Here is a 13,464-nt window from a genome sequence, read left to right as displayed (position 1 = left end):
TGATGGGAATGAGGACTTGCAGAAAAGGAGGGGGTCCCAGGCAGAGCATGCCAGTGTCAGCCAGAGGCACTGCAACAGGGACCTGAAGTGGGGAGGAGGGCACAGAGGAGATCTGCAGGTCCATGTGCAGCCCAGCCGTGGGGCACAGGGACCCTGCTGATGTCTCCATAGAGCTGGAAGCTTAGAGGGAGTGGGTGTGGAGGCCTCTCCTCTGGTAGCTTCCCCTTGTCTTGCTGAGGAGGCTGAGGGGGAGGAGGAGGGTCACTCGGGGTGCAGCAGCCTCAGTGGGGCACAGTTGCAGGGGATGTGGCAGTGCCTCCTGGAAAGCCCATGGTCCCTGCCCCCTCTGCAGGCATGCTCGCAGCACTGGGTGCCCCTAGGCTGAGTTCTGGACGGGCCCCTGCGTTCCCTGGTTCCCTGTACATGGGACCCTGTCTGGGTGCTGGGGCTGTGGGCCTGCCCTCCTGGAACCTCCACGCCGGGTCCTTGCCCCGCCACACTCTGACATCCCCAGGGCAGCCTAAGTGAGCCTTTTAAATGTAAGTTAGAACATCCCTCTGGGCTCAGAACCCCGCCCCCACCCCCACCCTCCGCCCCTTCCAACCCCGGTAACTCCTCCTTTGACTCTGAATCAAAGCCACAGCGCTTGGAATGGCCCGAAGGCTGCCGCCAGCTGACAGGATTGCCCTCTGCTGTCTCCCTCGCTTCACGCCAGCCTCACTGACTTCGCAGGGCCTCCACCAGCCCTCAGCCCGAGGCTGTGCGCTTCTCTTGGCCTGGAGGGCCCCCCCACACCAGCACTCCTCACTCCTCCCTTGCTGTGAGGGTCTGTGAGTGAGGCCTGCCCCATCACCCACCCAGAGCCGCAGCCTTGGCCACTTCCGCACCCATCTGGGCCCCCTGTGCTTCCAGCTTGCTTTCCCTCCCATCACACTCCCAGCCACCAGAAGTAATGTGCACTTTACAGGTTCGTGTTGGTGTATGTCTGTCTGTCTGTCCATCTCTCTCTCCTCACTAGAATGTAAGCTTTACACAGTTAAACAGGTCTTCTTGGCCTGTCCCATTTACTGCTAGAGCCCCAGCACCTGGAACAGACCCTGACAATCACAGACACAGAGTAAATATTTGTCAGTGAACACATTAACGAATACAAACCATCATTTAATATCTGAAATCCAAAGGCTGAGTTTATCACGTACTTGTGGAAGGACTTGCTGTGCTTTTCAGGCAAAGTCTCACTGAACAAAGTCAACTGCTGCTCTTCTGCTGAGTTTTGGGAAAGAGCTTGTTTGGGGTTGTACGGGTGGCGGAGGCAGCATGAGGGGATCTCCGTCTTACAAGCATAGGAAGGATATGGTACCTTCAGATTCTTTGCAGGAAAGCGTTGTTCATTGAGGGTGTTAGGGGGTCATTGCTCTGTGGTGAGCAGGTTTACGCAAACCTGCCTCCAAAGGGCAAGAAACTGAGTGGCAGAAGAAAGAGGCTGACACATTTAGTTTCTCAGAAAGAAACATTTGGCCGGGCACGGTGACTCACGCCTGTAATCCCAGCACTTTGAGAGGCTGAGGTGGGCAGATCACCAGATCACCTAATTTTTGTATTTTTAATAGAGACGAGGTTTCACCATGTTGGTCAGGCTGGTCTCGACCTCCTGACCTTGTGATCCACCCACCTCAGCCTCCCAAAGTGCCGGGATTGCAGGCGTGAGCCACCGAGCCCGGCCGCTTCTACTGCTCTTTACCATCTGTTGCTTTTGAACTTTTTCTTCCATCCAAGATCCTAACACTTAGGTGAACTCATTGTGATACAGATCTGATCATCCGGGACAATAACTATCCAGCGATATCCTGAATTCTTAAGCAAATGTTTGTCTGTCTCCTGGAGTTTAGGAAAATTTCCTTCAGCACTCAGCATAGCTCTAGACGTGGCTTTACATCCAGCATTAGAGATCTGATTTCTGGCTTTCCTGGGATAAACCCTAAGGGAGGAGTTGCTTGTGTAGGAGATGGAGGGGCAGGAGTGGGGGGGTGATGCGATAAGTGGCTGGTGAAGATGGAGCTGGGCAGAGAGAGTGGCAAGTGGATTTCGGAAGGTTTGAGTGGGAGGAAACTGAGGCCAAGGTATACCAGTGGCAGAAGCTATTAAATGATGAAATTTTGTCTCCTAACATTTTAGAGCTCCTCTTAAATATATTAATGTATTAGTTTTGATGTGTCAGAAGTTCCCACAATGACCAACGTTATTCTAAGCTGGTGGTGGTAGTTGTCGCTGTTTAGGTTTTGTGGTGAGTAGGGGGCAGTTTGCCATTTACCAGGACAAGCACAAGTTAGGATAATAGTCTAAATTCATAAGGCTGCAGGAGTTCAGCCAGGGAAGTTGCAGCCTTGGCATAACCAGCCCATGATCATCACTTTCATCAGTCAAAAGTGTGTGCTTAGCATGACGTTCCGGTTCCCCCAACCAGACACAGGCTGGAAAGGGCCGTGCAGTCAGTGACCTGACAGCTGTGACCCCAGAATATGGAGAAAACAAAGGGGCCTCCTTTCACGTGTTGGCAGAACAGGAGCGCCCTGAGGAAGATTTTAGAAGGGACCCAAGGAAAGCCCTGCCTAGTTGCCTACAGGAATTGGCCCCTAGTATCATAGACCTCTGACCATTGATCCTGGGGGCCAGCTTGGATTGAGTTGGAAGCATGCAGGGCCTGTGTCGCCATCTGGTCCCCAAGGAGCACCCTGTTATCTATCCATCAAACACAAGACAAGTCAGAGCACAACAAAACTCATGGGATAAACCTTTATCTAATAGTCAAGCAAAAGCAAAGTGCCCAGCAGCAGAACACACAGGTAAATGTGTGTCTCCGAACACAAGGTCTTGCTCCCCAGCCAGAGGCCCACTTGCTAACAAAGCAGTCAGCACGAGAGAGCAGCAAAGCAAGTGAGAGCTCAGAGTGTTGTCACACGGTGCCCTCGCAGAAAGCAATCAGCAGGACAGACAAAATGTGGGCCCCGGGGGTTGACCAAGGACACCTGTGGCCCACGGCACCCAAAGGACACTGGGAAGCAAGGGTTTCTAAAACAATCTTGGAGGAACCTCCAGAATTACCAAAGGATGAGATCAGCCACCGCTCAGTATCTGAAACCAGAAAGCTGAGCTGTCGCTTAAGTAAGGGGGAGCTGTGTTGGTCAGGCAGGCTCAGGGAGCAAAGCAAACTGCTGATCTTCCCTGGGGATTTGGGGCAAAGCTTATTCCAGGCAGGTTGGGATTAGGTTGATGGGAGTCTAGAAGCATGGCCTGTGTGGGTTACAGAAGGGAGGTGACTTGACTGAACCTGGAAGCCTGGTTACACTGGAGTAACTCCACATTGATGACTGACCAGAGTGCGAGGCTGTCACTCATGAGGTGGCTTTCAGAGGCGTGCCACATAAGCCGGTTGTCACCGACCAATTAGCCATCTGTAAAATCAGTTCTGGTATTTACCATGGCTGTAGAACCGTCCGTCTTTTCCTAGGAGTCCGGGGGACTTTTTCATCCTCTAAAGATAAGTAAGCAAGTGAGAAATTCTGGAGGGCTGTTTCTCCAGACACCTGATGGCTGTAGCAGAGGCTGCCCCAAAGAGGTGCTTCCGAGCGATCCCCCCCACGGCCCCTCCCAGGAAGCCAGTGTTCATTTAGCGCCGTTCCTTTCCCCAGTGGGAATGGACGCCTGCCCTGGAGAGCTCAGCCCTGCCCTCAGGGAGTTTCTGATCTGGGGATGGGGACATGAACCTTCTCACAGCCAGGATTAGAGCCTGAAGGGGAGGAGGGACTAAGCCAGCTGTCTGGGCCCAGCATCCCCACACGCCCAAGGGACCTGCGATCTCCAGGCGCCTTCCCACCAAGCCAGCCCAGCCATGGAAGAAGGGAGTTGGGGGAGTCCCCATTAGGCCATACCCAGGACCCTCCTGGCTCCAGGAAGCCTCCGCCCTGGCCTCTCTCAGCCCTCTCTCGTATCTCCCTTCATAGAGACAGGCAAGTGTCTTTCTCGCGCCAAGACCTCCCCCCGGGCCCAGCTGTCCTGCAGCAAGGCAGGCGGTGTGGAGAGCTGCTTCCTTTCCTGCCCGGCTCACACACTCTTCGTGCCAGGTAACCCGGGCCGTCCCTGAGATGGGATGCTGTGGCAGGGGGGTCTTCCTCCCTGGGGTCCCACCATTGCTCCCAGCTGTCCTCCAGGAAAGAGTCTGACCTAGGAATGAGGGTCTCTGATAACTGAGTGACCCTAAGGCAGCTGTCTGGTTTTCTGTGGGCCTCGCTGTCCTTCTCAGTAAACCCAGTGGGCTCCTTCCTCCTGGCCACTTCCCTGTGGTTGTGTAGCAGAAACTGGCAGAAGAATCTGTCCTGATCTTCGTCTCACTCCACAATCCCTCTGAGGCCCCAAGAATCTGAGGGCCGTGGGAGGGAGGAGCACCAGGCCCACCTCACCCACCGGCTTCTCTGCAGACTCGGAAAATAGCTACGTCCTGAGCTGCGGAGTTCCAGGGCCGCAGGGCAAGGCGCTGCAGAAACGCAACGGCACCAGCTCTGGCCTCGGGCCCAGCTGCTCAGGTAACCCCCCCGGCCTGTCCATGCTGCATGCCACTGGGTGACTTGACTGCATCCAGCAACATGCTGGCGGGGGAGGAAAGGGCACCGCCCAGGGAAGACCTTCCTGCTCTCGGCCCTGCTCCGTGTGGCCTGGGGTGCTGGCGATGAGCCAGGCCCAGGACCTAGAAGCCAGCAGGCTGCAGGCCGAGTTCTAGCCCAGGGTCAGGGGACCGTGGGAGGGCCCTTCCGGCTCTGAGGTCACAGCCAGAGTGGTTCAGGGACTCTAACGTGCTGTGAGTGCACAGATCTCAGACTGTATGGGTGGAGCAAGCCACATCTGCTGTGGCTATTAGGTTCTCCCGAGTCAGAGCTGGCCTGGCCGTGCAGAGCATGCCAAGAAGCGCCGAGGTGCAGCACAGTCCCAGCCCTTTGGGAGTGACCCGCTGGGCTTGGTCGGCATGGCACAGCCAGCCTTAGCTCCTGCCAGCTAAGGAGCTGAGGGTTGTGTCTTCAGCAGCTTTTCTTATTCAGGATGCTGGATTTGATAGATAGGTGCATTTCTGTATGTTTCTTTATTATTATTATTATTATTTTTAAAACGGAGTCTCGCTCTGTCACCCAGGCTGGAGTGCAGTGGCGTGATCTCGGCTCACTGCAACCTCCGCCTCCCAGGTTCAAGCAATTCTCCTGCCTCAGCCTCCTGAGTAGCTGGGATTACAGGTGCCCATCACCACACCTGGCTAATTTTTGTATTTTTAGTAGAGACATGGTTTCACCATGTTGGTCAGGCTAGTCTGGAACTCCTGACCTCAAGTGATCCGCCTGCCTCGGCCTCCCAGAGTGCTAGGATTACAGGCGTGAGCCACCGCACCCTGCCCATTTCTATATATTTAATGCATATGTGATTTGATTCTAAGCACCTGTGGTGGTAGGATTCTTTAGTCCAAGGGCTATGATTTGCTCTTGCAAGGAACCGGCAGTCCTGGATCTATAGTATTTCAAAGCCCCTTCCCTTCCTTGCTGTCCTATCTCTCTTCTGTTCTACGCTCTTTCCTAAAGCACAATCATGGCTTGCTGATGGGGAGGAGGTAGGAGGATCCCTGTCCTCCTTCTCAGAAGACCTCTGGCGGGTGGCCCCTGGGCTTGAGCTTGACCCCACCATCCATGTGTTCACCTGTTTTAGGCCTTGCAGGGAGAGAAATGGGGCAGGAGAGGGTCCCCCACCCCAGGAGAGCTGTCGGGGCACAGGGACTCAGATCAAGCCCCACCCCCAGCTCCAGATGGATTTGTCCCCTGGCAGCCCCCGTCCCCCACCACCTCCTTGCCTGCAGGAGAGGCCACCACCTGGGGGAATTTTGGCTTTCCCCAGATGCCCCCACCACCCCCATCAAACAGAAGGCCCGCTTCAAGATCCGAGATGCCAAGTGCCACCTCCGGCCCCACAGCCAGGCACGAGCAAAGGAGACCGCCAGGCAGCCGCTGCTGGGTGAGTGGGACGCCCTGCTCCTAACCCACACCAACGGGGCTGTAGGAGAGTCCTCATGCCTGGGAGCTGGGGCCCCAGGGTCCAGCGAGTCTGGTTTCCAAGGGTGGAGGTCTCTCTCACCTGGCAGCTGTTTATTGAATGAGAGTTTCCAAGGACATTGCAGGCTGGGGAAACAGCGGAGGGCAAGCTTGGTACGAGGGGCCCCGGAGGAAGGCACCAGCTCTGTCCCCGTGAAGATTCCTTCTCAAACCTAACAGAGCTCTCAGCACGCAGCAGGCTCTGCCCAGAGCCGAGTCTGCACTGGCCAAACCCTCAGCAGGCCCAGAGCTGGGGGCACAGCCTCATTCATGAATATGTATGAGATGCCTCCACCTGCAGCAGCGTGATGGACCGGGCGTGAGACCTGGCTCAGCCACCAGCCCCTCCTGAGACCCCGAGCCAGCCCTGACCTTCTCTAGCCTGAGTTTTTCCGTCTGCACCACGGACCAGGAAGTCCTTGCCAATGGCACTCTGTATGCAGGGCTTGGTAGGACCTTGCTCCCTGCCCCATGCCGCCTTTGCCACAGTGGTCCTTTCCTCGTCCAGACCACTGCCATGTGACTTTCGTGACCCTCAAGTGTGACTCCTCCAAGAAGAGGCGCCGTGGCCGCAAGTCCCCATCCAAGGAGGTGTCCCACATCACAGCAGAGTTTGAGATCGAGACAAAGATGGAAGAGGCCTCAGGTAGGTGAGGGGTTCTCCTGGGGGCTTCTGCAGGCCTGAAGGAGGACGACAGGCTGGTGGCGCTGCCGGGGGCCTGCCAGGCATGAAGCTAGGCTCCCACCAGAGCACAGCTGTGGCTGGGATGGGAGCCCAGCTTCTGGAGACAGAGGCAGGCCCACAAGCAAAGGGAGCTGGCAGGGGTCAACGCTTGCAGCCCAGGATAGAAGAGGCAGCCCAGGGCAATGAGACAGAAGAGCCGAGGTGACCTCAAAAGTCACATGACCCTTATCTGCCCCTCCACACTCCTGCTGGGACCCGGGAGGACAAATAGGTGCAGCCCCCCTAGAATGGTTGAGCCAAGGATTGTCTTTCCTGGTTCCTGAAGGAGGTTCTAATGCTGGCTCGGGTGTCACAGCAGCACTTTGCTCTTGGCTATATGTGAGTGTCAACCTGTGAGTCGTTGATGTTGAAGAGATGGGATCTGTCAGCAGATAAGTGTGGTATGGGCCTGGCTGTGGGCTTGGGCGCTGTGGAAAGAAAAGTCCCCACCCAGGTAACACTCTCAGCCAGAGAGGCAGACGCACGTGCAAACCACCCATTGCCAGGTGGGACTCTCGGTGGTGGGGGCACAAGAACAAACAATGCATAGAACTGAGGTCTGCCCCCCACGGGAGGGCTTAGGAAATGTCTTAGTCTGGCTGGGCACACTGGCTCACGCCTGTAATCCCAGCAGTCTGGGAGGGCCAAAGTGGGTGGATCACTTGAGTTCAGGAGTTCAAGACCAGCCTGGCCAACATGGTGAAACCCTGTCTCTACTAAAAATACAAAAATTAGCCAGGTGTGGTGGCAGGCACCTGTAATCCCAGCTACTCAGGAGGCTGAGGCAGGAGAATCGCTTGAACCTGGGAGGCAGAGATTGCAGTGAGCTGAGATCGCGCCACTGTGCTCCAGCCTGGCGACGAGTGAGACTCTATCTCAAAAAAAAAAAAAGGAAATGTTTTAGTCTATTTGCGTTGCTAAAAGGAACACCTGAGGCTGCATAATTTATCAGGAAAAGAGCTTATTGGCTCTCGGCTCTGCAGGCTGTCCGAGAACACGGCAGCAGCATCTGCCTGGCGAGGCCTTAGGCTGCTTCTGCTCACGGAGGAAGGTGAAGAGCAGCTGGCATCACATAGCAAGAGTAAGGGAGCAAGAGAGAGGGGAGGGGGTGCCTATGTCTTCACCAGTCACATCTCGTGGCGACTAGTAGAGCCAGCAAGAACTGACTACCACACCAGGCCATTCATGAGGGACCTACCCCATGACCCAGACACCTCCCACCAGGCCCCACCCCCAGCATTAGGGATCAGATTTCAACATGAGGTTTGGAAGAGACAAATATTGAAACCATATCAGGAAGCTTTCCCAGAAGAGGTGCCATTTGAATGAGAGCTTAGAATCAAAGCTCACTGGGTGGAAAAGGTGGCAAGGAATGGCATTCAGGCAGAGGGAATAGAATAGGCAAAGGCACAGAGGTCAGAGAGAGGAGGAGGTGTCCAGGAAGCAGTAAGTAGGGCCAGGTGGCTAGACATTGGAATCCACAGGGAGTGTCAGAGTGGAGGGGATGAGGCTGGCAAGGCCATACGGGGCTGGACCTTGAAGGGCCTTGGATTCAAGGCCAGAGAGCTGGACACTATCCTGGGGACAGTGGCAGTCCCCAAGAGTCTTTGAGTGACAGAAAGGCGTTCTTGCCCCGTGAGTCGTACCCTGGGGGGTGATGTGGTGCAGTGGCAGCTGCCTGGATTGCACTCAGATCTGCTGCGTGGCCGTGGGCAGGCCCTGCCTCCCAGGTCCGCAGCCTCCTCATCTGTCAGATGGGCATGACAGTGGCCCCTTGCCCCAGGACTGTTGTGAGAATGTGCTGAGGAGGTCCGAGCCCAGTGCAGGGCCTGGCACGGGGGAGCCCTCAGCTAAGAAGGCAGCGGCTAGCAAGGTTGCCAGCGATTCATGTTCTGTCTCTCCTGCCCCTGCAGACACATGCGAAGCGGACTGCTTGCGGAAGCGAGCAGAACAGAGCCTGCAGGCCGCCATCAAGACCCTGCGCAAGTCCATCGGCCGGCAGCAGTTCTATGTCCAGGTCTCAGGCACTGAGTACGAGGTAGCCCAGAGGCCAGCCAAGGCGCTGGAGGGGCAGGGGGCATGTGGCGCAGGCCAGGTGCTACAGGACAGCAAATGCGGTGAGTCCTTGCCCATGGCCACTCAGATGCTGACTCTGTCCTTCCTTGCACATGAGCCGGGGTAAACAGTGGTGGGCACGCAGGTGAGACAGACACCTGGGGAGGGGACAGAGAGATGCAGAGGCCTGCCGGGGAGAAGGACTGCAGCCCTCATGGTCATCACTGTCATTTGAAGAGCACTCCTCTGTGCTGGGCCTCGGGCATGTGATCACAGTCTGAGGAGGGACAAGGAGTGGACAGGACAGCAAGGCCACAGTCGAGGGGCGCGAGGGGGCACGGGAACCAGAACAGGCCCTCTCTAGTCTGGGATGTGGTTCAGGGAAGCTTCCTGGAGGAGAAGTCACGTTAGCTAAGACCTCAGGGCTCCAGGAGTTGGGGAGCCTGAGTCAGGGTCGGGGGACAGAGCAGGGATGTCGTGAGGCCTAGGGCCGCCCAGGAGGGCAGCGTCGTGCTGCAGGGAAGCAGGTGAGGCCGGCCCCCAGCGGGCGGGTGTGCGCTGGAGGGGAGAGCCTGGACGCAGGACAGGCAGAACCAGCACACGAGACAGTCCTAGTTCTAGTGGAGCTCACATGCCCGTGCGGAAGATGGACAGTGGGCCAGTGAACATGCCCACAGGTACAGTGAGGCCAGAGGTGATGGGGCCTGGCAGACACCACTCTTGAGTTGGATGGGGAGCCATAGGAATGCTTAGAGCAAGGACGCAGGCTCATGCGCGCTCTTACGGGAAGGCTGAGTAGCGGGGGCGGAGCAAGGACGGGGAGGAGCATGAGATGGAGGGGGCTCCTAGGGAGAGACAGACTTCAAGGACGACTCCAAGGGTTTGGCCAATTGGGCAGAGGTGGTATCGCTTCCTGACGCCGGCCAAATCCCCAAGGATTTGAGGAAGAGTGGGCTGGGGGGAGGGAAACTTGATGAAGAGTGGGCTGCGGGGATGGGGTGCGCAGGCTGGACATGTTCAGTCTGAGACGCTCACAAGTCATCCACATGGAGATGTTGGATGGGCAGTTGCAGCCACAAGTCCGAAGCCTCAAACAATAGGGTTGGCCAGGGGTGTAAACTGGGAAGCCGGAGGAGAAGAAATGATACCTGGCGGGGGAGGAGGGAAGCTGTTGGAGAAGAGGTGACACCTGGCGGATGGGGGGTGGGGGTTGGGGGAAGCTGTTGGTAAAGAGGTGACACCTGGCAGGGTGGGGAAGCTGTTGGTAAAGAGGTGACACCTGGCGGGGTGGGGAAGCTGTTGGTAAAGAGGTGACACCTGGCGGGGTGGGGGGAAGCTGTTAGAGAAGAGGTGACGGCAGTGTTGGGGGAAGCTGTTGGAAAAGAGGTGACACCTGGCAGTGGGGGTGGGAGGGAAGCTGTTGGTAAAGAGATGACACCTGGCGGGGGGTGGGTGGGGGGAAGTTGTTGATAAAGAGGTGACACCTGGAGAGGGCGGGGAAGCTGTTGGTAAAGAGATGACACCTGGCAGGGGAAGGGCCAGGTTGGGGAAGCTGGGACTCTGGCTCAGACAGTGGAGGGGGACAGCCGTACTGACAAGGGGGGACAAAGGGAGCTTGGTGATGTCATCTTCTACTTTCTTTTTTTGTTTGTTTGTTTTTATTTTTGAGACAGAGTCTCGCTCTGTAGCCAGGCTGCAGTGCAATGGTGTAATCTCAGCTCACCGCAACTCTGCCTCCCAGGTTCAACCTATTCTACTGCCTCAGCCTCCCAAGTAGCTAGGACTACAGGTGCGCGCCACCGTGTCCGGCTAATTTTTGTATTTTTAGTAGAGACAGGGTTTCACTATGTTGGCCAGGCTGGTCTCAAACTCCTGACCTCATGATCTGCCCACCTCGGCCTCCCAAAGTGCTGGGATTATGGGTGTGAGCCACTGCGCCCAGCCTCTTCTACTTTCAATAACTTATTTTGGGCCGGGCATGGTAGCTCACGCCTGTAATCCCAGCACTTTGGGAGGCCGAGACAGGTGGATCACCTGAGGTCAGGAGTTTGAGACCAGCCTGGCCAACATGGTGAAACCCCGTCTCTACTAAAAATACAAAAATTAGCTGGGTGTGGTGGCGAGCGCCTGCAATCCTAGCTACTGGGGAGGCTGAGACAGGAGAGTCACTTGAACCTGGGAGGCAGAGGTTGCAGTGAGCTGAGATCACACCACTGCACTCCAGCCTGGGTGACAGAGCGAGACTCCATCCCAAAATAAAAATAAATAACTTATTTTGAAATTATTTCAAAGTTTCAGAAACATTGTCAAGCAGAACAAAAAACTTCCATATTTTCTTCATCCAAATTCCCCAATTGTGCACATTTGACCACATCTGCCCCGTCTCCCACACGTGTGCATGTGTGTGAGTGTGCATGCATGTGTGAGTGTGTAGTCTTCACCATCCAACCCACACACCCACCCCATTCAGCTCCAGCAATCCTTCCAACAATGTCCCTTTTGTTTTTCTGGTCCCAGCTCCCATCCAGAAAGACATGTCACCCTCCACTGTGTCTTCAGGCTCCTTCAGTCTGGAGCCGCTTCTCCCCTTTCCCTGCCTCTCCTGCCCTTGTCCCAAACTCACCTCCTCTAGGCTAACGCTCAGAGCTCCCTCTGGTTTTTCCTGGGGACCTGACTCAGGGCCCAGGGTCCAGCAGGAACCTCAGCTTCGAGGCCTAATCCTGGGTGCCCCATCAGCAGGCACAGGATACCCCCAGCCCGCCACTGGCTTCACTTTCACTCGCCATTTTCTCTCTGTGATTGATGAGTGTTTTCTGAGTTTGGACCAATATTCTCCTCCTCATCAAACTTCTGCACAGCTCCCGCCATGTCAGCCACCTCTACCATTTGTTCCATGTTCCACGCTCACTAGTCACATTCTCCTGTAGGAAAGTGGGTGGCCATGGCCGTTTACCTCTGGGTCTGTATCCCTATAGACTCAGATTCCCCTTACTCATTGCGTGGTGATCCATTCCTGATGTTATTTAGTTCGGCGCTCACTGTGTCCCCAGGGTAGCCAGGGATGCCCCACCAAGCTGGCTCTTGGGTCTGTCTGACCTGCCACACACATGCTGCGAGCCTCCCCTTCAGATCCAACTGACACTCTCCATCCCCTGGCATCAGCCAAATCCCCAAGGACCCCTGGTTCCTTTGAGAGGAGGATGATGGGTAGAAACCAAAATCTGGGATATTCATTGCTCCTGGAGTACCACTGCCTCTAGGCCCTCTCATCGGACAGAACTGGAAAGCATAGATGTGTATACACGTGCACACACAGGCATGGGAATCTATGGGTGGGGGGGTTCTAAAACCATGAATTCATGCCAGTGCCTCCCGTTCCACACCTCAGGGTCTTTTCTAACCTTCACTCCCCATTTCCGCATTTGTAAGCATCTTCTCCAGCACTGAGAAACTCGGCTCCCTTTCTCCTGAATTTACTGATTTACTCAGTTTCCTTACTTACTCATCAGTCGACGTATTTGTTCAGTGTAGCCAACCAGACTGCGCTGTCTTCAGCCCATCATCTCCTCGCTACGCCCCTCCCACCTCGCCCGCCAGGCCCTCCTGCCCTTGCCTATTTGAGCCCCAGTCCCTCCCCACTGCCCCTAACTCCTCCACTCAGGAAGGACAGGGGAGCTTCGGGGTGAAATGACTGTAGCATATCCAAGTGGCGACATCCAGGAGGCAGTTTGCTAAAGCTGGAGGGCAGGGTGTGGAGCAGACAGAGGACAGACGTATGGGGGAGGTGGGGACCACAGGCTTCTATAAGCGGGTGGAGATGGAGGGGTCCACAGAGGACTCTGAGGTGCAGCAGCCAGAGGGGCCAGGCTTCATGGCCCTCACAGATGGCTGCCTCCTGGGTCTTGCCCCAGGCTCTTCTGGGATAGGTCAGGGGCCCCTCTGTGTCCTTGGGGCCCCAGGGGACAAGGACTGTGTCTATCAGGAGAGCCTGGGCTTGAGCACACAGGAGACACCCCTGGCCTCCCCACCTCTGCCTCCAGCAGCCTCTCCGCTTTGCCTCTGCAGTTGCCTGTGGGCCTGGCACCCACTTCGGTGGTGAGCTCGGCCAGTGTGTGTCATGTATGCCAGGAACATACCAGGACATGGAAGGCCAGCTCAGTTGCACACCGTGCCCCAGCAGCGACGGGCTTGGTCTGCCTGGTGCCCGCAACGTGTCGGAATGTGGAGGCAAGTGCGGGCCTAGAAGGAGAGGTGGGGGTGGGGGGTGGGCGGGGGCTCCTCCTGTCTCTGATGAGGCCCTCCTGTCGAAGGCCCAGGTGCCTGGTGTGGCCAGAGAGTGTGGTATTTTCTAAAGTTCCTTGTCGTTTCCAAAACCCTTCACGATGTCTGTGCAGTCATCACTTACAAAGTGCGTGACAGATCCCAAAGCGTCAGCAGTCCCGGCCTGCACTACAGTGCTGAGCGCTGCACTGCACTCGGTGTGCTCTCAGAATTGCATTGTGCCCTTTGGAAAGGACTTCACAGTGTGCAACTTACGGTTTCTAAGGGAGGTACATAAGTGCC

General features: G+C 56.2%; 1 protein-coding gene across 1 annotated transcript in view, besides 4 other annotated features; it reads left to right on the top strand.

Moving 5' to 3' along the window:
• SCUBE1 (signal peptide, CUB domain and EGF like domain containing 1) overlaps positions 1-13,464 on the top strand; it is a 146,093-nt gene that overhangs the window by 116,155 nt on the left and 16,474 nt on the right. The window contains exons 11-16 of the mRNA NM_173050.5: positions 4,002-4,121; positions 4,476-4,580; positions 5,929-6,045; positions 6,631-6,768; positions 8,760-8,963; positions 12,967-13,128. Coding sequence (NP_766638.2) covers positions 4,002-4,121; positions 4,476-4,580; positions 5,929-6,045; positions 6,631-6,768; positions 8,760-8,963; positions 12,967-13,128 — 846 coding nt within the window. The remainder of the gene's footprint in view (positions 1-4,001; positions 4,122-4,475; positions 4,581-5,928; positions 6,046-6,630; positions 6,769-8,759; positions 8,964-12,966; positions 13,129-13,464) is intronic.
• Positions 220-785: an enhancer, noted in NCBI's record as "H3K4me1 hESC enhancer chr22:43622439-43623004 (GRCh37/hg19 assembly coordinates)". NCBI's record gives its function as "activates a minimal SCP1, AML or CMV promoter by ChIP-STARR-seq in naive H9 embryonic stem cells {active_cell/tissue: H9 hESC(naive)}" and the evidence as "EXISTENCE:reporter gene assay evidence [ECO:0000049][PMID:30033119]".
• Positions 786-1,352: an enhancer, noted in NCBI's record as "H3K4me1 hESC enhancer chr22:43621872-43622438 (GRCh37/hg19 assembly coordinates)". NCBI's record gives its function as "activates a minimal SCP1, AML or CMV promoter by ChIP-STARR-seq in naive H9 embryonic stem cells {active_cell/tissue: H9 hESC(naive)}" and the evidence as "EXISTENCE:reporter gene assay evidence [ECO:0000049][PMID:30033119]".
• Positions 1,973-2,138: a silencer, noted in NCBI's record as "fragment chr22:43621086-43621251 (GRCh37/hg19 assembly coordinates)". NCBI's record gives its function as "represses an EF-1alpha promoter that drives an FKBP-Casp9 reporter gene in an ReSE screen in HepG2 liver carcinoma cells {active_cell/tissue: HepG2}" and the evidence as "EXISTENCE:reporter gene assay evidence [ECO:0000049][PMID:32094911]".
• Positions 6,470-6,971: an enhancer, noted in NCBI's record as "H3K4me1 hESC enhancer chr22:43616253-43616754 (GRCh37/hg19 assembly coordinates)". NCBI's record gives its function as "activates a minimal SCP1, AML or CMV promoter by ChIP-STARR-seq in naive H9 embryonic stem cells {active_cell/tissue: H9 hESC(naive)}" and the evidence as "EXISTENCE:reporter gene assay evidence [ECO:0000049][PMID:30033119]".

Source organism: Homo sapiens, chromosome 22 (assembly GCF_000001405.40).
Source record: "Homo sapiens chromosome 22, GRCh38.p14 Primary Assembly".
NCBI classification, from domain to species: Eukaryota; Metazoa; Chordata; class Mammalia; order Primates; family Hominidae; genus Homo; species Homo sapiens.
The sequence above is the reverse complement of the archived record's forward strand: the minus strand, read 5'-3'. Positions and strand labels throughout refer to the sequence as shown.